Source organism: Homo sapiens, chromosome 9, assembly GCF_000001405.40.
Source record: "Homo sapiens chromosome 9, GRCh38.p14 Primary Assembly".
NCBI lineage: Eukaryota > Metazoa > Chordata > Mammalia > Primates > Hominidae > Homo > Homo sapiens.
The window spans coordinates 120,637,996-120,663,171 of NC_000009.12; the positions used below are offsets into that span (position 1 = coordinate 120,637,996).

The 25,176-nt window shown below is 37.1% G+C and overlaps 1 protein-coding gene across 1 annotated transcript in view, besides 1 other annotated feature; it reads right to left on the bottom strand.

The window, feature by feature from the left end:
* MEGF9 (multiple EGF like domains 9) overlaps positions 1 to 25,176 on the bottom strand; it is a 113,660-nt gene that overhangs the window by 37,185 nt on the left and 51,299 nt on the right. The window contains exon 2 of the mRNA NM_001080497.3: positions 21,379 to 21,580. Within this exon, the coding sequence (NP_001073966.2) occupies positions 21,379 to 21,580 (202 nt within the window). The remainder of the gene's footprint in view (positions 1 to 21,378; positions 21,581 to 25,176) is intronic.
* Positions 17,241 to 17,300: a silencer, noted in NCBI's record as "silent region_20222". NCBI's record gives its function as "represses an Ori minimal core promoter by ATAC-STARR-seq in GM12878 lymphoblastoid cells {active_cell/tissue: GM12878}" and the evidence as "EXISTENCE:reporter gene assay evidence [ECO:0000049][PMID:35858748]".

Below are 25,176 nucleotides of genomic sequence, written 5' to 3' on the forward strand. Positions count from 1 at the left end.
AACCTTTTTCTTTTTTTGAGACAGGGTCTCACTGTCACCCAGACTGAAGTGCAGTGATGCGATCACAGCTCACTGCAGCCTTGACCTACTGAGCTCAAATAATCATCCTGCCTCAGCCCCTCTGAGTTGCTAGGACTATAGGTGCACGCTGCCACACGTGGCTAATGTTTTGATTTTGTAGAAACAGGGTCTCACTATGTTACCCACGTTGGTCTTTAACTCCCGGCTTCAAGTGATTCTCCCACATTGGCCTCCCAAAGTGCTAGGATCACAGGCATGGGCCACCACACCCAGCTGAAAAAGTAATTATTAATACCTAATTTTTGTATTTGCTGTATTCCAAAAATTAACTTGTAGTGCCTATAATTTAGAACTCATTTTCTCAGAGAAACGATTGCATAAATGGTGGCTTAGTTTCCAGATCAGCAAACAAAAACCTGCTTAAATTGAAACATTACTGACAGGGTTGAAGCCTAAGTCCTTTATACCCAAGTTCTAAGTCTTTGAGGTTTGAACCCTATAGGGGGTAGAGTAGTCAGTAGGCAATATTTGGGCATGATCAATTTTACTGGGCAATGCCTATTTTCCAACAGGGTGGTAACAATTTATACTCCCATCAGCAACGGAATAATGGTCTCACTGTTCTATATTCTCGCCAATACTTGACGCTATCAGCTTTTACATTTTTGCCAATCTGGCACCTTGAAGTAGCATCACAACATGGTTTTAAATTGCATTCTTCTGATTAGTAATGAGATGGAACATCTTTTCACCCTTACTGGCCATTTGAGTTTCCTCTTTTATGAGGAATCTGCCCAAGTATTTTTTGTTTGTTTTTAGAGATGGGGTCTCACTGTGTCTCCCAAGCTGGAATACAGTGGCACAATCATAGCTCTCTGCAGCCTCGAACTCCTGGGCTCGAGCAAGCCTTCTGCCTCAGTATCCTGAGTAGCTTGGGCTTAGGTGTGCACCACCATGCCCAGCTTGTCCAAGTATTTTTGACATTGACTTGTAAAAATTCTTTATATACTTCTGTAAAAGTAATCATCTGTCAGTTTCATATGCTGTAATTATCTTCTCTCAGTTTGTGGCTTGTCTTTTCATTTCATTTATAAAGTCTCTTGACAAACAGAAGTTTTCACTTTTAATCCAGTTGAATGTATAAATATTTCCCATATGTTTTTTATATTTTGGAGAGTATTTTAGTGAAATAGTTAAGAGTAGGAACCCTGGGCAGGGCACGGTGCTCATGCCTGTAATCCCAGCACTCTGGGAGGCCGAGGTGGGTGGATAATTTGAGGTCAGGAGTTTGAGACTAGCTTGGCCAACATGGTGAGACCCTGTCTCCACTAAAAATACCAAAATGAGCCGGGCATGGCGGCATGCGCTTGTAATCCCAGTACTCGGGAGGCTGAGGTAGGAGAATCACTTGAATCCGGGAGGCAGAGGTTGCAATGAGCCGAGATTGTGCCACTGCACTCCAGCCTGGGTGACAGAGTGAGACTCCGTCTTTAAAAAAAAAAAAAAAAAAAAAAAAAGATAGGAACTCTGGAGCTAGAATACCTAGATTAAAATCCTGGCCACTAGTCATATGACCTTAAATAAATTACTTAATCTCTTTATGCCTCAGCTCCTCATTTGTCTAACAGAGGACCTATCTCACAGGTTTGTTAAGATTAACTTAGTTAATATGTGGTAAGCACATATATAGAACAGTGCCTGACTCAGAGTAAAAACTACCTAAGTGTTGCTATTATTTTAGTATTATTGTTGAAGAAATCCCTCTCTACCCCAATATCATTTTACATTTTGTCTTTCACATTTAGGTCTTTGATCTACCTGAAATTTATTTTTGCATAACATATAAGTGAAAGGTTCAAACTCATTTTCTTCCTAATAGATAGCCAAAACTCTAGTACGATTCATTGATAAATCCACCCTTTATGCCCCTAAGCTTTAGTACCTCCTCTGCCATATATCAAATGTCTTTATACATATGATTTACTTCTGGGCTTTCTTTTTTATCTATTTGTTTATCCTGAACCAATACCACCCTGTCTAGATTACTATAGCTTTACCTCTCTCCAATGTTTCTGTATAAAAACTTTGGAAAATATAGATAAATCAAAAGAATGGTATTCTGGATATCTGTGTATATATTTTGCTTTACATACTACCCCCTAACTCCTGTTCCCAATTTATACCACTTCAGCCACAATGACTTTGCTGTTGCTCAAATACATCAGGCATCTTCCTGCATCAGGGACTCTACTTGCTGTTCTCTCTATTGGCAATACTTTTCCACAGGGGATCCGCATGGCATGCTCTATTACTTCTTTTTGTTCCTTATTCTAATGTCATATTCTCAACATATCTTGCCTAGCCACACTATCTGAAATTGTAATATTTCTTACTATTTAATATACCATAAATTTTATTTTCTTGTTTATTATCTCTCTTCCCATCTAGAATGTCAGTTCTGTGGAATCAGGGGGGTTTTATGTGTTTTTTCCTCTGCTATATTCCCAGTGCCTAGCACAGTGCCTGGCATGTGATAGGCATGCAAACTTTGTTTAATGATTGCATAATCTGGCTCCAAAGTCTATGTGTGCTTTCTTCATTAACTCTTGATGACTTCTAAGCGCAATATTTATTTTCATTTCAGTCCATTTAATATTTTCCATGTACTTAATCTTTTTTAAAATTTTATTATTCTTCTTTAGACTTTTATCGACTTTTTTCAGGGGCTACATATGCAGGTTGGTTACATGAGTAAACTGTGTTGCTGAGGTCTGGTGTATGAATGATCCCATCACCCAGGTAGTACCCAATAGGTAGTTTTTCAACCCTTTACCCCCCGCCCACCCTCCCCCTTCTAGTAGTCCCCAGTGTCTACTGTTCCCATCTTTATGTCCATGTGTACTCAATGTTTAGATCCCACTTATAAGTGAGAACATGTGGTATTTGGTTTTCTGTTCCTGCATTAACTTGCCGAGGATAATGGCCTCCATCTGTATCCATGTTGCTGCAACAGATATGATTTTGTTCTTTTTTACAGCTGCATAGTATTCCATGGTGTATATGTACCACATTTTCTTTATCCATTCTACAATTTATGGACATCAGGATTAATTCCATGTCTTTGCTATTGTGAATAGCATGCACTTAATCTTGACACTTTATGTCACACTTAAATAAACCTCTTAGAATCTTGGAAATAGAATATTCATTCTAGGTGAGCAAAATGAGACATTCAATGACTAGCCCATGATAGGCCAATCAACCTTGTAAGACAGTGATCCCTCAGGTTTGTTCATTAAAGTAAGATAAAGAAGAGCAGATAGAAAGAAAAAGTCCTAGCCCTCAAAGAAAAATCCATTTTGCTCAACCCCAATATTCCATCATGACCCTACTGAATAGGGCCTCTTTAGCTTATACAATTCTCATAAAAACAAAGAATAGAGGTTGAAATGCCTCAAAAAAAACCCTTCTTTCTTAGTTCTAGTTTGCATCTGCATAAGTTGACCTTAGGTTTTGAGGACAACACACTCAGAGCCACCAACATAGATCAGTGGTTCTGAAACTTTAGCATGCTGATTCTTGGGCCCTATCCCAGACTTTTTTATTCAATAGGTCTGGTGTTGGGCCTAGGAATTTGCATTTCTAAGCAATTTCCAGGTTAAACTGATATTGCTGGTCTGGGGACCATAATTAGAGAACTACTCTACTAAATTAACTGTACTTATTTCACTCTATTTTTTATATCCCTATCCCTGACTGGTAAAGCTACTTACTTTCCACTTCCAGGCATAGTGATGAACCCTGAATTTGGTATCAATTCTAACCTAAGAAGAGGGTACTTAAGGCAATCAACCTCAGCGGTCTGTCAAGTCCCATTTGCTACTGGTTCCTTTGTCCTCAGTCCCCTATATTCCTAATGATTAATTACAACTATTGTCCCTAGTTTCTCAATGCCTGGCTCCTGGTCTCAGTGGCCCTGCCTCTCCACTTTCCACCACAATGACTAGGTCCATGACACTTGCTTTCAGACTTCTCACATATCAAATGCCTGCCTTTTAACTTAAACCCAAGCAAGTCAGATGTTCTGACACCCAAACCACAGACCTAGCTTTAAATATTTCTAATGCCCTAATTCCTGCCTTTTCCTTTCCAATGATTCTGTATGTATACTCTTAACAATTTTTATTGTTGCCTTCTGTTCAGTATTTATTTTCATTGTAGCCCAGGTCTGATTTCTAGATTTATATTTCCATAGGCCAGTACCTAAACTGATGAGTCATACTCACCCACAGCTAGCCTTGCACTTACATTGAGATGCTCACACTGCCATATCTAATTTTGCCTATTCTATTTCAGGGTACAGTGGGAAGAGACTTGGAGCCGGACAGATCTGGGCTCAAATCTAAGTTCTGCCATTTATTAGTTATGCCATGTCGCTAAGTAATTTAGCTGCTAAGAACAAAATGGATGAGTTGTCTGAGAAGTCAGAGAGGTTTTATGTGTAAAACATCAAGAATGGAGGTTTAAAGTGTTCAATGAATGTTAATTTCCTTCTGTTCCTCCTGCTGCCTCTCCTGGATTATGCAGCTTCTTTCGGTGAACATGTTAGTCAAGAAAGCTAATATATTTCTCTGTAAAAATGTTTCCTTCAAATATCCACAATATCTGTTTTAATGGACATTCTATTCAATTGCAGAACCCTTTGAAAATCAATTCAAGGCCAGCAAAAGTAAAACTTAATTAAAGTAATGGTCATGGTATATGTGTTGGAAACTGGCAAAAGAGAAGGAAGAGATTTTGTTATTGACAATATAAGCCATACTTGCATTACTGCTTTTGGCAATGTGAGAAACATGCCTATGTTCCTTCTGTAGTGTATGTAGAAAACCCCAAACTGAAAAACTAAATTGAAAACCCCAAATTGTTGAAACACACAAAATATATCACACCAGAATATTCATTTAATCTACACAAAGCCATAATAATGGAATTTATAATTTTTAAACTAGTCCTATATACTATGTCAAAATAATCATGGCTGAAGCATTTGTGTCCCTTTTTATGGAAAATCTAAAGAAACTTCAAGTCCAAGTCTCCCTCTAGGATTGACAAATTTAGGTATTTTGAGAAGAAATCACATCCAGGGAGGAAAAAAAGCTGAACAGTCCCATATTTATCTCCATCCTCTAGGAAACATATTTCTTGCTATGAAAAAAAAAAAATCTGAGATGGAAAAAGTCATGCTGATTTAATTTTCTTTCAGGGAATAGAGAGGAAGACAAAGCCTTCTCTGTGGGAACAAGAGGCCTTCTATTTTAGCCTAAGTCTACTAACATGAGTCTTAGAAGCTATTCATTTTAAACTGCAGAGAAAAAAGAACATTAAAATAGGCTATGAATTTGATTGTACATTCTAACCACAATGTCATACATCTAAAATGGCAGGTCAACAAAGTAAGTTTATTTCCTTATCCTAATTTCTCTTCTGTACTTAAGGCTAAGAATTACCATAAGGACCAACTTTGCCCTCAAATAAATAATACTGTCTATACTCCCTTGAATGACTGCTTCAAATAACAATTTTATTAACTTTCTATTTTGAAATAATATTAGATTTAAAGAGGAGTTGCAAAGATAGTACAGGAAGTTCTAATCTACCATTCATCCAGCTTCCACTAATGTTTCTTTTTTTTTTCTTTTTTTTTTTGAGACAGGATCTAGCTCTGTTGCCCAGACTGGTGCCATCATGGCTCACTATAGCCTTGACCTCCTGGGCTCACGCGATCCTCCTACTTCAGCCTCCCAAGTAGCTGGGACTACATGCATGCACCACCAAGTAGCTGGGACTACAAGCATGCTTGACTAATTGTGTAATCTGTTGTAGAGATGGGGTCTCCTTATGTTGCCCAGGCTAGTCTCAAACTCATGGGCTCAAGCGATCCTCCTGCCTTGGCCTCCCAAAGTGCTGGGATAAGAGGTGTGAGGCACCATGAGGCTCGGCCTGTTTAACTTCGTATGTAATCAGGACATATTTATCAAAAAGGAGAAATTAACAATGGCACAATACTATTAACTACTCAGATTTCCCTAATTTTTCTACCAGTATCCATTTTTTCGGTTCCAGAATCCAATCTAGGATATTGTCTCGCATTTACTCGTCATGTCTCCGCAGCCTCTTCCAATCTGACAGTTTCTCAGTCTTTTCTTGTCTCTTATGACCTTGAAGCTTTTAAGGGAACTTGACAAGTATTTTGTGAAATTTCCCTCAATTTGGGTTTGTCTGATCTCTTGTCACAATTAGAATGAGGTTATGAATTTTGAGGAAGACTATCACAAATGTAATGTATCTTTCTCATCTCATCACATTAGGGATACATAATATTCATGACATATTGCTAGTGATGTTACCTTGATCACACAGAGGATAATTTTTAATGCTAGGAATCTGTTTGTATGATAGCTAAACTTAAAGGATGGCTATCAGGCTTACTGAAAATAAGCAGTGGTTCGGCCAACCAATTAACAAACACTAGGACCCACTGAAGGCAGGATAGTCAGACAGATATTAATTTGAGCCAGTTTCTGCCACTTATTAGTTGTCTGTTTTGGGGCAAATTAAGCCTCAGTTTCTTCATCTGTAAAATAGAATATATCACCTTCAATTAACTGTTATTTTATCCTTACAAGACAGTAAATATAAAGCACTTACCCTGGCACATAGTAAACAGTCGGTAAATGTTAGTGCTGTTCATTCTGGAGTTGATAGTGGTAGTAATAATGTCAGAAGCATTTGTCAAGTTGTGTGGTATTTTTGTCTCAGAAGGAAGTCAAACTACAGACAGGAAAACACTACATGTTCGTAAGGTTTTAAAACACATTAAGTATAGTAAAATGCCCTATAAGAGAGATGTTTATAAAGATTAAATTTGTAGTTCCTTTCTTCTTTAGCAAGAGAAGTGTGCAATTGCTTTGCCATTTGGGTAGAGGTAGGAAAATAACCCTGAAGCAGATCCTCCTGACTGTGAAAAATCATTTAAGTTGGGTTTCCTTTAGTTACATAAGTATAGCATGAACAGGCCCTACTGTCCTGAGATAAGGGTTTAACAAGACTCTTTATATTTTGAGTGACTAAAGAAAGGCGCTTAAGCCCTGGGGAGGGAAGAAAGTTTGAGGTTTGTTAGTGAAAAGATTCTACAAAATGTCCTCAAAAAGTACTCTTGGGACCGGCTTACACAATGAGATGTGGCTGCATATATAAACTGAAGGAGCTGATTGTTAAGATCTAGAACCTAGGAGACCTAATTTAGAGCATCCTTGAAAGAATGTGGCATTAAGGGATTGGGTTCATCCTCCCTTAAAGAATCACTGCTGCCTCTGCAAGGATCTGGACCAGTTAAAGCATCATCACAGTTGTGAGCAAGCATCATCCATCCATTAGGTTGTTCAGGGACCAGGCTTCACCCCAACAATTCCAGGTAGCAGTGAGAAACAGTAGGATTAGTGAACTGATCAGAATCACATTCCTTTTATACCTAGCATCACAGGAGGACTGACCCCTAGAGTTATAGGACAATTAGTTACCTGTTGATAATGTGTTGCATCAAGAGGAGAGAGTACTTGACTTTATGCTATTTAGGCATATGAGGGCCAGAGCAATTAATTGGAAAAATAAAAGAAGTAAAGTTTGTCAATTATATAAGCTTTCAACTTTCCAATATCTATTGTTTGCTACCCTCAAAGGCCTCCTTATAAAGATTAACAGTTTTAAAAACTCTTAAAAGGTAAAGGGCCTTTGGATTTCTTTTCAGTAATGCAGAAAGAATGTGGATATGGGGACACTGCTTGACACTCAGCAGCAAGGCTAATGCAGGAATAAAAATCCCATGGGATACAGTGGGTGGTAGCAATTGCTGGAGCATAGGAAAGCAGATTCAATTCCTGCAGCCTGCAACAAAGGAAGAATGGTAAGCACAGGGAGAGGGTGTGGGCCTGAGAAGGAACTTTGTGCCTAAGCATTTCCATAAGTTCAACTTAGAAATACAAACTACCTTTAGATTTGTATGTATTAATGCAAAAATTACAAAATTTCCACAGAATTATGCACAGAAACATGGCTGTCATGGCGTATCACCCTTCTGACTCTTCTGACTACTCTCCATATTTTAAATATTCTCCCCATTCTCACTAATATTACCCTAATTTTGGCCCTTGTTAGTTTTTACTCTGCCTCCAATCTCTCCCTACTTACATCTACTCATTCTCCTACTGCTACAATCCAGTGTTGATCTTTCTCCTGCTTAAAAATTGCTTTGTGAATAAAACCCAAATCATCCGTCTGGCCCTAAAGGCTCCCTGTGACCTGACCCCAACAGGACTTACCAGACTCATCTCCTGTCCCCACTCCTCTTCCACTTGACATCTTCAGTAAGCCCATCTCTGAGATGTTAATCTTGCTGTTTGCTGTCTGTAAAGTCCTTTCTCATCTTTTTTCACTTCTGTATGTCTAAATCCTTTCCTTCCTTCAAAGCTGGGATCAAAAGCTACCTCCTCAATGAATTCAGCTCTGAGTTTTCCAGCTATAAGTGATGTCTCCCAGCTTCTTAATCCTCTTAACATTTTATCTTTATACTGTATTTTGTGATGTGGGTCAATTTTTACTTTGTATTGTAACTATTTACACATATTTAATAGTGTCCTTATTAGACTAGAAGCTCCTTTTGAATGAGACCCATTATCTTATTTATCTTTTATCTCTCACAAGGCTTATTAAATTACCTGCAGATAAATGCGGTATTTAGTATAAGGTATTTATTTTATTCAACAGAAACCATAATACCAAATACTGCATTTATAGAAACTTAATTATTTATACTATTAGCATATATTCAACTACAGATTTAGAGGGGAGCTTCTCACAAAAATGAAATAAATGATCTAATACTATAAATAACAAAATTTTAAGATATTTCTTTAAAAAATTATAAACTGGCCTAAAACTAACTTAATAAAATGAAATAAGTAGAGGAGTCTGCAACATGGTTTAGGGACGGTAACATGTTTAATCAACGGCAATATCAACACACTGTGACATGTTAATGTTCACAAAGGTCACCGAGACCTGGAAAAAAGTTTTTTTTTTTTTCATTCATTTGACTACAGCTGATATCTAGTTAATGATTAGACTAGGAGGGCAGATTATGCCCTGTATTGAATGGAAACTTTAAGACAAAAATCCACTGAAAAAAACATAGAGCTTTCCAGAATGTATTAGATACGCATTATTTACACTTAAATCCCAATGCACTCAGTGCCTTTTTCTGAACAAGCTCCTCTCTGACCATTTATTAACATGCAAACTTTAATTTGTTTTTCCATGAACTTAACATACTTGATATCTTCTAAGAAATAAACCATTTGGTCCTATACAAGCATTTATTGAATCAAATGAATCACAATAAGATAAAGGCTAAAAGCAGTTACCTACTTTTGATCAAGATGGCTACCTTTAAAAAGTCTACTTTCACGGAAAAAAATATTCAAGTGTACCATAAAGGCAATTTAAACTAGAGATTGGTATAATTGCAGGAATAATTGGGGTACAGAGTAAAGTTATCTTAAAATAAAAAAAAGTGAAGTATTGTTCTGCTTTCCTACAAAATAGCATAAGAATATGCTAGATTAGATTTTGAGTTTGACACACAACGAATATACAAATGCTTACTTTCAAGTGTCTGCCAGACATCTCTACCTGAATATCCCATAGTCACTTCAAAATCAACATTTTTGAAACCTAACATCATCATGTCCCTCCAACTTGCTTATCTATCTGTACTCTTTAATTAGTTATTAATAATAGAATAGCTCTTCACTTATGTGCTCAAGCCAGAAACATGGGAGTCATCTCTCTTTCTCTTTCTCTTTCTCTCTCTCTCCATAGACAAGCAACCATTTAGTACTGTATATTTTATCTTCCAAATATCTCTTAAATTCTCTCATTTCCAGCACTATTGTCAATGCCAATATTAATATCTTAAGTCAGGCCTTTAAGTTCTCTTGCTTAGATTGTTACAACAGCTTTCTCAATCTGGTTTCCTTGCCTGAGCCCACTCTTTCTAACCACCAGACTTCTGGCAGACTAATTTTTCCAAAAAACAAGTCTGATGTCACCTCTTGTTAAATATTCTTCAATGGATAAACGTATTTACAAGGCACATCAGGGCCTTCATGGTTTGGCCCCGTTTATTCTTCATTCATTCATTCTGTTCATTCATCAAGTATTTACTGAATATCTAGTATGTGCCAATCACTGTTCTAGGTGTCAGAAATATAACAGTAGACAAATAGACAAAAATGTCATCCTGTCATTGCCTACTTCCTTTCAACCCTTCTTCCCCACTACTACCAAACTTTGTCTTCAAGAAATAGTGAACCACTTGCAATCAGTGAAGACGTCTTTTTCTTTATACAAATTTCTACTCACTCTTCAATATCAATCCAAATGCAACTGCCTCTCTTAAGATCTCCCCGAATGTTTGCAAGTCTATCTTTGCAAGTCCACTAGCCAGTAAGTTCCTTGAGAATAGAGGTAATATCTTTTGACATATGGTTGGCAAATGCAATGTCTTTTTAAAAATAAAACATGAATGAAATGACAAAGTTTTTCTAAATTGTTAATTGTTTCTAGTGATCAAATAACCTTTTTCTCAATCTTCCAGAAGTATAGGCAAAGTAGTAAATAAGAGTTTGCAAAAGCAGCTGTTACTGTCCAGTATTACACAAGAGATGACCTTCAGAGCCCTATATGAATGTAAGCCTCCGAGGTGTTTTGTCATCTTTCCATTTGAAATTTATTTTGGCATCAGTTTACTTCATAAGTTTGCCTTTTAACCTGAGGCACATTCCCACAATTAAAATGCAAAATAGTAAATACAGTTGTCCCTGAGCATGGGATGGGGCTTGGCTCCAGGACCTTCCCACCATACCGAAGTCTTCAGATGCTCAAGTCCTTTCCATAAAATGGCACAGTATTTGCATATGCACGTCCTCCCAGATACTTTAAGGTTACTTATAATACCTAATACAATGTAAATGCTATGTAAATAATTGTTGTTTTATACTGTTTTCTTAAATTTTCATTTTTTATTGTTGTACTGTTATTTTTAATTGGTTTTTAAAAAATATTTTCAACCTGCATTGCTTGAATCTGCAGATGTGGAACTCACAGATAAGGAAAGCTGACTGTAAATTTTAAGATACACCGTAGAGCTAGTCCTCAAATAATGTAGTTTCAGTACAACATTGTTGAAGACAAATGATTCCCAGTGGAAGCTACTATCTGTGTGGAGTTTGCATGTTCTCCCCATGTCGGTCTAGGTTTTCTCTGGGTACTCTGGTTTCCTCTCACATCCAAAAGATGTGCATGTCAGGCTAACTGGCAAGTTGAGATCATCCCAGGATGATTGAGTGTGGCGGGGTGTGTGAATGCACCCTATGATGGAATGGTGTCCTGTCCAGGGTTGGTTCTGCCTTGCACCTTGAGCTGCTGGGACAGGCTCCAACCACCCATGACCCTAAACTGGAATAACTAGGTAAATAATTTTCTTACTTGTTATTAATTTTTCTTACATATATGTATAGTTCACATTTATTTCAATGTTTATTATTAGAAGTGTTTTTGGTCTTTTTTTGATAGTTTGGTGATGTTTCTATGACCAGAAATATGCATATGAACTTGAACTCTTGTTTATATCCATTAGCCTACGGTAAAATTGGTTTTGTTGTACCTTGTTTTGCTTAAAGTCGCAGTTTCCAAGAACCTACGATGATGAGGAGGACTTACTGTGTAGCAGCAACGACAGATTTTATGGAAAAGGATATTATCCAATACAGAATTTCTTTATCTAAGACAGTCTAAAATGATGCACCTTGTACTCTAACCTACCGTGAATACATTAAAAAGTCTCAAATCAGGCCAGGCACGGTGGCTCACACCTGTAATTCCAGCACTTTGGGAGGCTGAGTCGGGTGGATCACAAGGTCAGGAGTTCAAGACCAGCCTGGCCAAGATGGTGAAATCCCGTCTCTACTAAAAATACAAAAAAATATTAGCCGGGCGTGGTGGCGGGTGCCCGTAATCCCAGCTACTTGGGAGGCTGAGGCAGAGAATTGCTTGAACACGGGAGGCGGAGGTTGTAGTGGCAAAAAAGCCTCAAATCAATGTGCAATTGTCTACATATAAAGGCATCCCTGATAACATTTTAAGAACTATACTGAGATTCACGCATTCACTAAGCATACTGCTTTTTGAGATAAAATGCTACCTGATTTCTCTATTCATTTATTAAGCACATGTCAAAATATAAATCAGGAAAAACATTTGAAATGTGTTTCAAAAGCAAAACTGAAAAGTTCAGATACTGTACACCAACTCCTTCCAATTAAACAGGTTGGAACACCAATGGTGATGTGAGGGGGTGGACATCCGTCAGTACATAAAGAACTTTGTGTTTGCACACAAAGACATTGCTCAACCCACATCTGGCTCCTGCAGCCAAAATCTACCCTCACTGGGGTGACTCCCACTGAAATATATGGGCATAAAGAATAGGGAAATGAATTTTTTAAAAGCCAATTGTTAGTTCCATAGACTTTCAATATATGAGGGAATCAGGATAGAATTGAATCCACTTTTCTACTCTCATTTTTTAAAAGAGAACAGAGAGGTCACAACAGAAGAGAATTTGGTGTTAGGATATCAGATTTCTTATGTCATTGTATAATCAGGAAATTCACTGGAATTTTCATGTTTTTTTTTTTCTCCTGATAGGTCTTCTCATCTCTCTGCCACTCTAAATCATAACCTGTAAGACCTCCACCTCCTATGGAAAGCCTTTCCTATTACACTTTAATTTACTTACTCCTGTTCTTTTTCTACTCTGAACTACTATACTTACAAATTAAGCAGATATTCATAAACTATTTTGTATTGTATGTGTTTCATAGTTTTGCACAGATTAGATTATAAATTTCTTGACAAGAGCAAAAGCAATATTCCAAAGTGCCTAATAAAAAGGAAGGGCAATATAACAGATATTGCAATTGGTATTTGTTCATCAAAGGGCTGGTCCTTTCATGCTCTAATTTCTACTACGCCAAAACTAGGATTAGTCCTTACAAAGAAGAGTTATTATTTACATAACATGAGCTACATCACACCAGGGTCAGTGTCTGATTACCAAAAGACAACTAGAAGAAATTTTTAGAAAATATCAAGAAGTCTGCACCACAGCATTGAATTTCTTACAATACTCACTCTCTTTGCTCAATATCTGAGATTTTGAGAAAGGCTGTACCAGCATAGTGGATAGGAGTATATACTCTAGATCCAGACTGCAAATGTTTTAATTCCAACTCTTTTACTTACTGGCAGTTATGCAGCAAATTAGGCAAATTACCTAACTTGCATTTTTTTTCCTGTACAAATGAGAATAATAATAATAGTGTCTACATTATATGGTTGCTATGAAAATTACATAAATTAATAACTGCAAAGGGCTTAGGATAATGCCTAGCAAGTATTCAGTTTAAGCTATTATTATTCTAAAATATATAGCATTCAATTTTAAAAGGTATAATAGGATTTTTTTTTTTTTTTTGAGACAGAGTCTTGCTCTGTGGCCCAGGCTGGAGTGCAATGGCATGATCTCGGCACACTGCAACCTCCGCCTCCCCGGTTCAAGCGATTCTCCTGTCTCAGCCTCCTGTGTAGCTGGGATTACAGGCACCCGCCAGCATGCCCGGCTAATTTTTGTATTTTTAGTAGAGATGGGGTTTCACCATGTTGGTCAGGCTGGTCTCGAACTCCTGACCTCATGATCCACCCACCTCGGCCTCCCAAAGTGCTGGGATTACAGGCATGAGCCATCGCGCCTGGCCTGTATAATAGGTTTTTAAATAAAAATTGAAGACAATAAGAGAATTTCTTCTGTTTATAATGAACAACTTCTTCCCTAGCATACCAACAAAAAACAAATACCCCAAAATCTACTCATACTCAAGGGTGGTTGATTTAATCCTCCTTTTTGGTATAACACTAATTCTATTCCTCAGTTAAAACAAACAAACAAGCACACACACACACACACACACACACACACACACACACACAAAAAAAAAAAAAAAAAAAACAGGTCAGGCATGGTGGCTCCTGCCTGCAATCCCAGAACTTTGGGAGGCCAAGGCAGATGGATCACTTGAGCCCAGGAGTTGAAGACCAACCTGGGCAACATGGTAAAACCCTGTCTCTACAAAAAATAGGCAGGCGTGGTGGTGCATGCCTGTGGTCCCAGCTACTTGGGAGGCTGAGGTGGGAGGATCCATTGAGCCCAGGAGGTTGAGGCTGCAGCGAGCCATGATTGAGCCACATTGCACTCCAGGCTGGGTGACAGAGCGAGATCTTGTCTTAAAAAAAAAAAAAAAAAAAAAAAAACAGAAACAAAACCAAAAAACCAAAAAGAGATTCAACTAGTAGAGAGTTATTGAGCTGAATCTACGTGCCAGTCTAAGTGGACACAGGCACACACACACACACACACACACGTATGTGCACAATTTAGTTTTCTTCTTTTAAACTTTTTTTAATTTTTAATTTTTATGGATATATAATAGTCATATATATTTATAGGGGACATGTGGTTTTTATATAAGCATACAATGGGTAATGACCTTTGTGTTGGAAACATTCCAAATCTACTCTTCTAGCTTTTTGAAATATACAAAATATATTGTTAACTATAGTCACCTTATTGTGTTACCAAGCACTAGATCTTTATTCTTCTATCTAACTGTATTTTTGTACTAATTATCAGAAAAATCCTTCATGTTAGATATATTAATCCTATTTTACAGATAAAAGCAATGAGGTTCAGAGAGGTCAAACAGCTTAATAAAGGTCACATAGTTAGCCAGTGGCTGAACCAAGAACAGAATCCAAGTCTACCAATTTCAAATTCCGCTCCCTTTCTACTACACGTCATCACACTACTTGTCTACAATTTCCTTTCTCCCTTAACCCACTCACATATAATTTCTAGCAGAGCAGAACACAGAGCTGTTTGCTCAGAGTTCATCCACATCTTCTTGCAAAGTACACAGTCCTGCAACTTTCCATTTCTGTTCTAGTTTCATGTCAATTTAACTTCCTACTAAGAAATTCAGTGCTTAGGGCTATGTGGATTTAGAGCTCCTAAGCCTTCCTTATAAAGACTTCCTTTAAGTACAGGCTTTTAAACTACTTCTGTGATACACTACTTGTTCTGACAAATTGCCTGACATTCTGAAATAATATTTTATTTATTTTATTTATTTTTTTTTTTGAGACAGGGTCTCACTCTGTTGCCCAGGCTGGAGTGTAATAGTGCTATGTCAGCTCACTGCAACTTCCACCTCCCAGGTTCAAGCAATTCTCCCACCTCAGCCTCCCAAGCAGCTGGGATTACAGGCGCATGCCACCACATCCAGCTAATTTTTGTATTTTTAGTAGAGACAGGGTTTCACCATGTTGGCTAGGCTGGTCTTGAACTCCTGACCTCAGGTGATCCACCCACCTCAGCTTCCCAAAGTGCTGGGATTACAGGCGTGGGCCACCGCGCCCGGCCTTTATTTTTTAATAATATTTTTTAAAACTAAAAAAATGACTCTGTTGTGACCAATAGAAGTATAAATTTATCTCAGAAGTTTAATATGCCAAAGACAAACAAGAAATACAGCAAGTAAAGAAACAAAGACTGGAAGGAGCATGGAGGAAAACTTACTGGAAGAGAGGTCAAGAAACTGAGAGGCTGAAGTATTGTTAGGCTCATCTATAGATACTGCAATCATCTAAAATTATGGCAAGTGTAGTGCCAGAGATAACAGTGAGCCAAGTGTAAGAAATAAAGGCTGGTGCCCAGGAGTAGAAACAGCAACAAGGAGGTGTGACAGCATAGTCTGCTGCCATGAGCTTCAAAGGAGTTTTTAGGACGGAGGCTGGGAAGAACACTCTGAGAGCAGCAATGAAGAGTAAGAGAGATATCTATTGCAACTCCAGGTCCAGAAGTAAGAGTGTGAGACAGAAAACAACCATTACCTGCATGAGCTGCAGGGGAAGGAAGATCCTTCCAGATTTCACTTAGAAGAAGATGATAAAGGATTTTAGAAATCAACACACTTTGATGCTATGAGGATAATATAAAACCATGTGTTACCTCATTAAAAAAAGGAAAACTACTAAGGATAACAGAAGCTATCAGGTAGGCACACATAGAAAATAGTCCATATAGAACAGGGAAAAATAATACAGTCAGGTGCAACATGATGACATTTCCGTCAATGACGTATGGAATATATCATGATGGTCCCTTAAGATTATAATGAAGCTGAAAAATTCCGATCACCTAGTGAGATCATAGCTGTGGTAACACACTGCAACATATTACTCATGTGTTCATGGTGATGTTGGTGTAAACAAACCTACTGCACTGCCAATCATATAAAAGTATAGCATGTACAATTATACACAGTACATAATACTTAATAATGAAAATAAATGACTTACTGGTTCATGTATTTACTATACTACAGTTTTTATTGTTATGTTAGAGTGTACATCTACGATTTTTAAAAAGTTAACTAGAACAGCCTCAGGCAGTTTCTTCATGAGGTATCCCAAAAGAAAGCACTGTTATCATGGATGACAGCTCCATGCATGTTATTCCCCCGAAGACCTTCTAGTGGGATGAAATGTGGAGGTGGAAGACAGTACTATTGGTCCTGACTTTGTGTAGGCCTAGGCTAATGTGTATATTTACGTCGTAGTTTTTAACACAAAAGTTTAATAAGTAAAAAATAAAATTTTAAAATAGAAAAAAGCTTATAGAATAAGGATATAAAAAAGAAAATATTTTTGTACAACTGTACAATGGACTTATGTTTAAGCTAAGTGTTATCAAAAAGAGTCAAAAAGTTTAAAACATCAGAGATCATAATGTTAAAAAGCTAGAGTAAGCTAAGATTAATTTACTATTGAAGAAAACTTTTTAAAAATAAATTTAGTGTAGCCTAAGTGTGCAGACTTTATAAATTCTACAGTAGTGTACAATAATATCCTAGGCTTTCACTTTCACTCATGACTCAATCACTGACTCACCCAGACCAACCATCAGTCCTGCAAACTCCATTCATAGTAAGTACCCTAGACAGGTGTGCCGTTTTTATCTTTTATACGTTTGCTGTATCTTTTCTATGTTTAGATACAAAAATATTTACCATTGTACTAAAATTGCCTACAGTATTCAGTTCAGAAACATGCTGTACAGGTTTGTAGCCTAGAAGCAACAGGCCATACTATATAGTCTAGGTATACAGCAGGCTATACCATCTAGGTTTGTGTAAGTACATTCTATGATGCTGTGTGACAATGAAATTGCCTAATAACACATTTCTCACAACATATCTCCACCATTAAGTAACGTAGTAATAATATTATAGGTCTCTTCCACCTCTTGCATGAATCGTCCATCACTGAATATCACATATTCCACATGAGATACTAACAAAAAACCTATTTATCAATTTTAAATGAAAAAAATTACAATTCATTTCATGTCAACCCCAAAAAACTAACCAAGTTCCTAAAGTGTAACTAAAACACAGTAAAGCACCTATACAAAAGTAACAAACTCCAATGTTAGGATATAAAATGCTGAAAACATCACTTCCTGAGCAAAAACCATTCCTAAGGTTAACAGTGGCTACAAGTAGTAACATGCTACATATCCTCTTTGTTGATATTTGGTGCACCTTTCAAATTGTTGACATGTGATTCTGACAGTCTACCAATTATATCTGGAATTTAACACAGACTTCTCACACATTATTTTGTTTAAAATGCAGTATTTGGCTGTATTTCTGGGACATAAATGTAAATATGTATTTTATAATGATCTGCCAAAACACACTGAATTGAGAGATAATGAATTCTAGGACATTTGGGTGTTAAATACCAAGAGGCTTTCTACTAGGAAAAACACGAACTGTGAAGTCATTTGGTGGACTCTGCTTACATATTACATTTGTTCAAATGGTTGAATGGCAGCTTTAGTATATAAAATTAGTCAAGTTAACTATACCCTTTAAACATCAAAATTCTCAGTCAAAATGGGAAAATAATAATGTTCTCCTCAAGGGAGTTTTTGTAAAAATTAAATGAGATGGCTGGGCACGGTGGCTCACACCTGTAATCCCAGCACTTTGGGAGGCTAAGGCAGGCAGATCACGAGGTCAGGAGATCCAGACCATCCTGGCTAACACGGTGAAACCCCACCTCTACTAAAAATACAAAAAATTAGCCAGGCGTGGTGGCGGGTGCCTGTAGTCCCAGCTACTTGGGAGCCTCAGGCAGGAGAATGGCGTGAACCCAGGAGGCAGAGCTTGCAGTGAGCCAAGATCGTGCCACTGCACTCCAGCCTGAGAGACAGAGCGAGACTCCGTCTCAAAAAAAAAAAAAAAAAAAAAGATTAAATGAGATAATGCACATCAAGTAGTTAGTAGAGTGCCCTAGCATATAGCATATGCTCAATAATGGTTCCCATAATTATTTGTATTATCTGTCTAGCAATTGCAGCTTAGAAGATTTATGCATGCATTATCCTGCTTCTTAAGACAAAACAACTTTATGCAGGAGAGGGACAGGACATGGATTATTATCTCCACTTCACAAATAAAAAGACAAACACTTAAAAGAATTCAGCCAGGCATGGTGGCTCATGCCTATAATCCCAGCACTTTGGGAGGCCAACGCAGGAGGATCGCTTGAGCCCAGGAGTTCAAGACCAGCCTGGGTATACGGTGCGACTCTGTCTCAAAATAAAATAAAATAATGAATAAAATAAAGGTTAAAGTGAACTGCCTAAAGTTACATGATTACCTAAAAATACCCACCATGATTGGATATAAACCACCATATAAACCAGGCGTGGGTAAACTTTTTCCAAAAAGGCCAAATAGTAAATATTTTATGTTTGCAGCCCATACAGTCTCTATCACAACTAGTCAATGCTGCCACTATAGCACAAAAGCAGCCATAGACAATACATAAATAAATGCATGGAACTATGTTCCAATAAAACTTTACAAAAACAGGCAGTGGGGTGGATTAGGTTCATAGGCCATACTCTGCAGACCCCTGCCCTAGGCCTTTAGATTACTAGTCTAGTGTACTTTTCCATTACTTTATGGTTACCACCTATTTTCAGGATAGGGTTTCAGCATTAAACTTGGTAGCATTAACTGTCAGAGAAAAGATAAATCAGGAATAATTTGCAGTAGAATTATGAATACAGTAAGATAGTACATAAATATCAGTATTACTGTTTTTTCCTCTTTTACAGCTTCTATTATAAAACTCTCTCTTAATCCTTCCTTTATTTCTTTCTCTTCTAATAAAGCACTGGGCCTAGAAGTAAACACTTTTCTATTTCTCCACAAATATGTTTGCAGAATATTATTCCAAAGAAAGTAGTGGACACTCCATGAGACACCAGAATGAACAAACTTAACAATGGCTTATCTTTTAAAACGGTAAGCAATGTGAAACTTCTGAATCTAACTTGTATGAGCATGTTTTAGGGGGAGTGGAGGGAACAGCGTTAAGCTACCACTCTATTCTCAATCTCAAAGAATAGAGTGATTATCAGTTTTCTCATTATAGAATCTACATGCTACGGTATGCTATGGTAGTGAAGACACTGGACTTGGAATTGAAGACCTAATTTGGAATTCTTTCTCTGGCACTTACTATCTTTGTGACCTAGTAACCTATATATAAGGAGTTGCTGTGAAAATTAAGACAAATAACTATTTTAAAATATTAAGCATCAGAAGCATTGATTATTGCTGCATTTGAAATTATAAACTTCTTAATGAAGTTCTCTTCTACTTTTTTTTTTTTTAAGACAGAGTCTCCCTCTCTCACCAGGCTGGAGTGCAGTGGCGCGATCTCAGCTCACTGCAACCTCCACCTCCCGGGTTCAACCGATTCTCCTGCCTCAGCCTCCCGAGTAGCTGGGACTACAGGTGTGTGCCACCACGCCCAGCTAATTTGTTTGTATTTTTAGTAGAGACGGGGTTTCACTGTGCTGGCCAGGCTCATCTAGAACTCCTGGCCTCAAGTGATCCACCCGCCTTGGCCTCCCAAAGTGCTAGGATTACAGGCGTGAGCCACCGCGCCCAGCCTCTTCTACATTTTTAATAAACTACAATATGATACAATATTCCATAACAGTATAATATCATTTATAAAGCATTTAAAATATTTAGTGCTAAAGTATAAAGCACTTCTTTGTCAAGGAGCTAAAAGTTCTTAAAACATGTTCTCTCATTTCAGTCCATAATATTCCTTTGAAATTAAAACAAACCAGAATTTATTGAGTGACATGTGCTAGGCATTTTATATATATCAACTCATTTAATCTTCACAACAACCTTGAGAAGAAACAAGCTCAGTGAAAGGAAATTACTTGCCCAAGGAACACAGCTCCTAAGTGGCAGCAGATCTTGGGTTATACCCAGGTTACACTGAGTATAACCTGTCATTATTTTTTTCATTATTTAATACTGTCTCTTCAGTTTTTTGACTTGGGGTCCACAAAAAGCCAAGTGCCTCACATAAGGTCAAAGAATAATTACTTTCAGTGCAGTACAAGGCAAATGCTTAGATAACAGTACATTATTCCACTAGATTAAATTACCTCCAAATAACATAATAGTTTAAAGATAATTCCTGCTTAATCTACTTTTGGTCTCAAAAATGTACTGGTAAATAGAGTAAAACCAGTCTACTTACCACTAGTTAAATAAATTAGGGTACCCCCAGGTTAAGCTTTAGATGTCCAAAGAAACAAATGTAGAATTTTGATTAGAGAGAAAAATAAACCAAACAACAAATTTCCTCAAACTCCAATGGTATATTAATAAACATAAGAACATTTCTAAACCTCCTAGCAGGTTTCATGCCTGAAAGCCCTTCCAGAAAGCAGATTTATTCTTCAATAATTTTTTCCCATGAAATTTACAGAAATTATCCCAGAGAAAAATTGGCGACTCTAGTGCTTTTGAAGAACTAAATCAGTAAATTAGATGTTTTTAAATCCTGACATTAAATATAACATATAAAGTAAGAGAATAAAAGTATATAAAATATTTTGTAAATCTATGACCCTCATCCCCCTTTGTTTAAACCAGTATGGTCCTTGAGAGTAGCAGCCTTTTTTTTCCCCTTGCTAAAATAAAATAAACTTCAGTTCCACCCTCTGTTGCTTACCTGTTGCACGGTATGCTGAGAGCTCCATGTGGACTACAGTCACATGGCTGACAGAGCCCAGAAGTGTAATTTAGGTAAAAGCCCTCTTTGCAGGTTTCACAGTGAAGCCCCTGATAACCTGGCCGACACTCACACTGCCCTGTGGTCTGGTTGCAGCGATTCACATTCAGGCTTCCAACCACAGAGCAGTTACATACATACTCTGCAAAGGAAAGAAGGAAAGAGACATTACCAACTAAGATTTAATGCCCTCTTAATAAAATGAACTCTATTTTATTTTTCTTAATAAATTTTCATGACAACTTTGTAAGGATAGATAAAATTAACTCTAGTTCAAATTTACTTTCTATCCCGTTTAGTTTACTTAAATCAGGAAACATATAGAGTACATAAATTATGTAGTGTGTGTGTGACAGTGTGTGTGTGTGTGTGTGTGTGTGTGTGTGTATTATTAGTTTTTCTGAATTAGAAGCCACCAAAGGCAGGCTTATCTACATGGCACTAAGGGCACATGTTGGAAATGACAACATGTTAAATAATAAATAATCCCACTGTATAGCAGCAAAAGCCTAAGGCTCAGATGATTAACTTTGGCAACCGATTCAAGGTCATACTAGATTGTGCCATAGCTAGAATCATAAGCTAATGTGTTCTGCCCAGGAAGAAATTAATGAAGAATAGAAACTTTAAAGTAAGGAAATGATGAACAATAAAACCAGAGGAGAAAGTTTACAGGTTCATCCTGATCTGTGAGTTGAATGTCTTTCCCAAATTAAAATATTTGGAAAATAAACATTTCTTTTAAGTATATTTCAAACAGTTCTTTGTTGTTTGTTTGTTGGTTTCACTTTTTTCACTTTTCGAAAGAAATACTTTAATTTTTAATTTTTGTGAGTACATAGGTGTATAAGGTGTATATATTTATGGGGTACCTGAGGTATTCTGACATAGGCATGCAATGTGTAATAATCATATCAGGATAAACGGTGTGTCCATCACCTTAAGCATTTATCCTTTGTGTTACAAACAATCCAATTATACTCCTTTAGTTATTTTAACATGTACAATTAAATTACTGTCCATAAATTACTAAATTATTGACCACAGTCTATCTGCTGTGCTATCAAATACTAGGTCTTATTCATTCTTTCTATTTTTTTTTGTACCCATTAACCATCCCCACTTCCTCCCCACCACACCCCTGTCCACTATTCTTCGCAGTCAGACAGTTCTTTGGATAAAAATATTGAGAAGCCCTTAGTTTTAGCCTTCTAATGCAAAGACTCATTTAAAGGTCAGTTAGGATTCATTTTTTGCTACTGCCTCTATTCATTTTATCAAAAGGAAAGTGTTTTCAACATAGTTTGACACAGCAGTAACAGAGGACTTTGTATTAACATATGTATCCTAGGAATAGGTCCCATTCCAAAATAGCTATGATCCTACCCTTAAAGGGTCCTGAGAAATCTATGGTACAAATTACAGTTCTAAATAGGTAAGGCACTATATAAAATGGCACTGTACCAACACAGTTTAGCTTGGAAAAAATAATCTTTGATACTATTTTTGATGACTTCAAAAAGCTACTAGACAACTACAAATCCAGACTCTTAAAAAGAGAGTTGTAAAGGGGTTTGCTTCTCCATTCTAGAAAAGGAAATTAAGCTTCAAAATTCTTTATGTAATCACAAGCAGCTTATTTATCCACACAAGTCAAAACAAAAGATTCCTCAAAGAAATTCCCACTTGGCCAACTCTATACCTCCCACACTTCTGCAGTTCCTAACCTTTGGTGTCACTTTATTTCCCTGCTCTTCACAGCTCTTCTAGTTTGTAAAGATAACAAATAACAAATAAATAGACCAGGCAGTGGCTCATGCCTGTAATCCTAGCACTTTAGGAGGCCAAGGTGGGCAGATCACTTGAGCTCAGGAGTTTGAGACCAGCCTGGGCAACATAGTGAAACCACGTCTCTACCAAAAAAAATACAAAAATTAGGCGGGCATCCTGGCATGGGCCTGTAGTCCTCGCTACTCGGGAGGCTGAGGTGGGAGGATCGCTTGAGCCTGGGAGGCTGAGGTTACAGTGAGCCAAGATCTTGCCACTGCACCCCCACCTGGGTGACAGAGTGAGACCTGTCTCATAAAAAATAATTAACGTAAAATAAATAAATAAATATTGGCAGCTTATTTGTTTATTTTATGTCTATTTCAAACTTGGGTGGTTCACAAAACCCAAAGGAAAATTCACATTTCTTCAGCCTCAAGCTTAGGAAAGGAACCAGCTTCCCATTACAATCAAGATTCTTATTTTCACTAGGCTACATAAACATGACATTTCTTTGACAGAGTTACATGTTTTCACATGATAGCTACTTTCTGCGTATGTGTGTTGTGGTTTTTGTAAATAACAAAGCCACGTTCAGTGGTCTGTAAACCTGCCAATGACAACTTCATAACAAGACCTTCACTCCACCAGAAATGACCAGAACACTTAACATTTTTCTTCTGAAATCGGGCAGAAATTCAAATTACATCCAACTTCTCCTGCTGGACCTATTTTATCACCAGTTAACTAATCAAAGTATGTTGGTGTCAGTAGAACTAGCTCAAGAAAAAATGAAAATACTAAAAAAAATTTTCTACAATAAAAACTATGAATTTTATTTCATTATTTCCTTACTAATGTATTTCCATCTGAAAACTGAGTCAATGTTCCCAATGAGTAAGATTAGCAGTATCTTCAAAAGAATCCAATTGAATTTAAGAACTCAGATATAAACACTTAATATTTTTTCCAGTGAAGTTCTAATGGATAAACTTTCAATACTAACCAAGTTCACTGGTTATTTATTATTTCTATAGTCAGTCTAATATCTTCATTATTCCCTGAACATACTCCGGTTAGTCCTGTCTCTGAACCTTTGCTTATTCTGTACATCTTGGAATGCTCTTTTTCACATATTCAAACCTATTCTCTATTTTAAGAATCAGCTGAAACTCACTTCTCCATAAACTCTAACTGTACTGCCCCTATTATGAATCCATAACAATATCTACTACCTAAACCTCTCAAATGACAATAATTTGAAGAGACAGTAAAGCAAAGAGTTATGAAGTTATGAGCACAGATTGTAGACGTAGACGGCTAAGATTAAATCCGGCTCTCTCACTAACTTTATAACCTTAGGCAAGTTAATTAAGCTCTGCGTGCCTTTATTTTTTCTCCTGTAAACAGGGCATAATAATAGTAGCTATACCACTCAGTCCCAATACTTAAGCTGGAAGTGCTTTGGAGTATTGCAATAATTAATACAACAGCTGGAAAAAAGTAGAAAGTGGTATCAGATAAAATAATAAATGCAATTCAGATGTTAGATTCACAGGCTATAGCTTCGTTATATCCTGCGGATAAGATCTAAAAGCCTGAAAATGGGTTTAGTACTATAGCAGCTTTGAATAACGTCTGGGAAACAGAATTAGTGGGCTGTTACGCAGAAATCCATGTTGTGGTTCATCTAGGTAGAGAATAAGACGATATTCTACTTATACCAGGCTCCACTCATTAACAATATGTGTGCCTTAAAATACATTGGTAAAAACAGAAGGATTTAGGATGTGGCTTCAGAGAAGATGAAAAATGAGCATTTATTAATTATATATCCTTGGTACTAATCAGTTTATCTGTAGCAGGGTGAATGGCAAATGTTTCAGCAAGAGAGACCACCCCAGGGATAAGAAGGGGGCTGACACATCAAGACAGAAAGGCACTATCATGTTAATACTTCTGCCCCAAAAA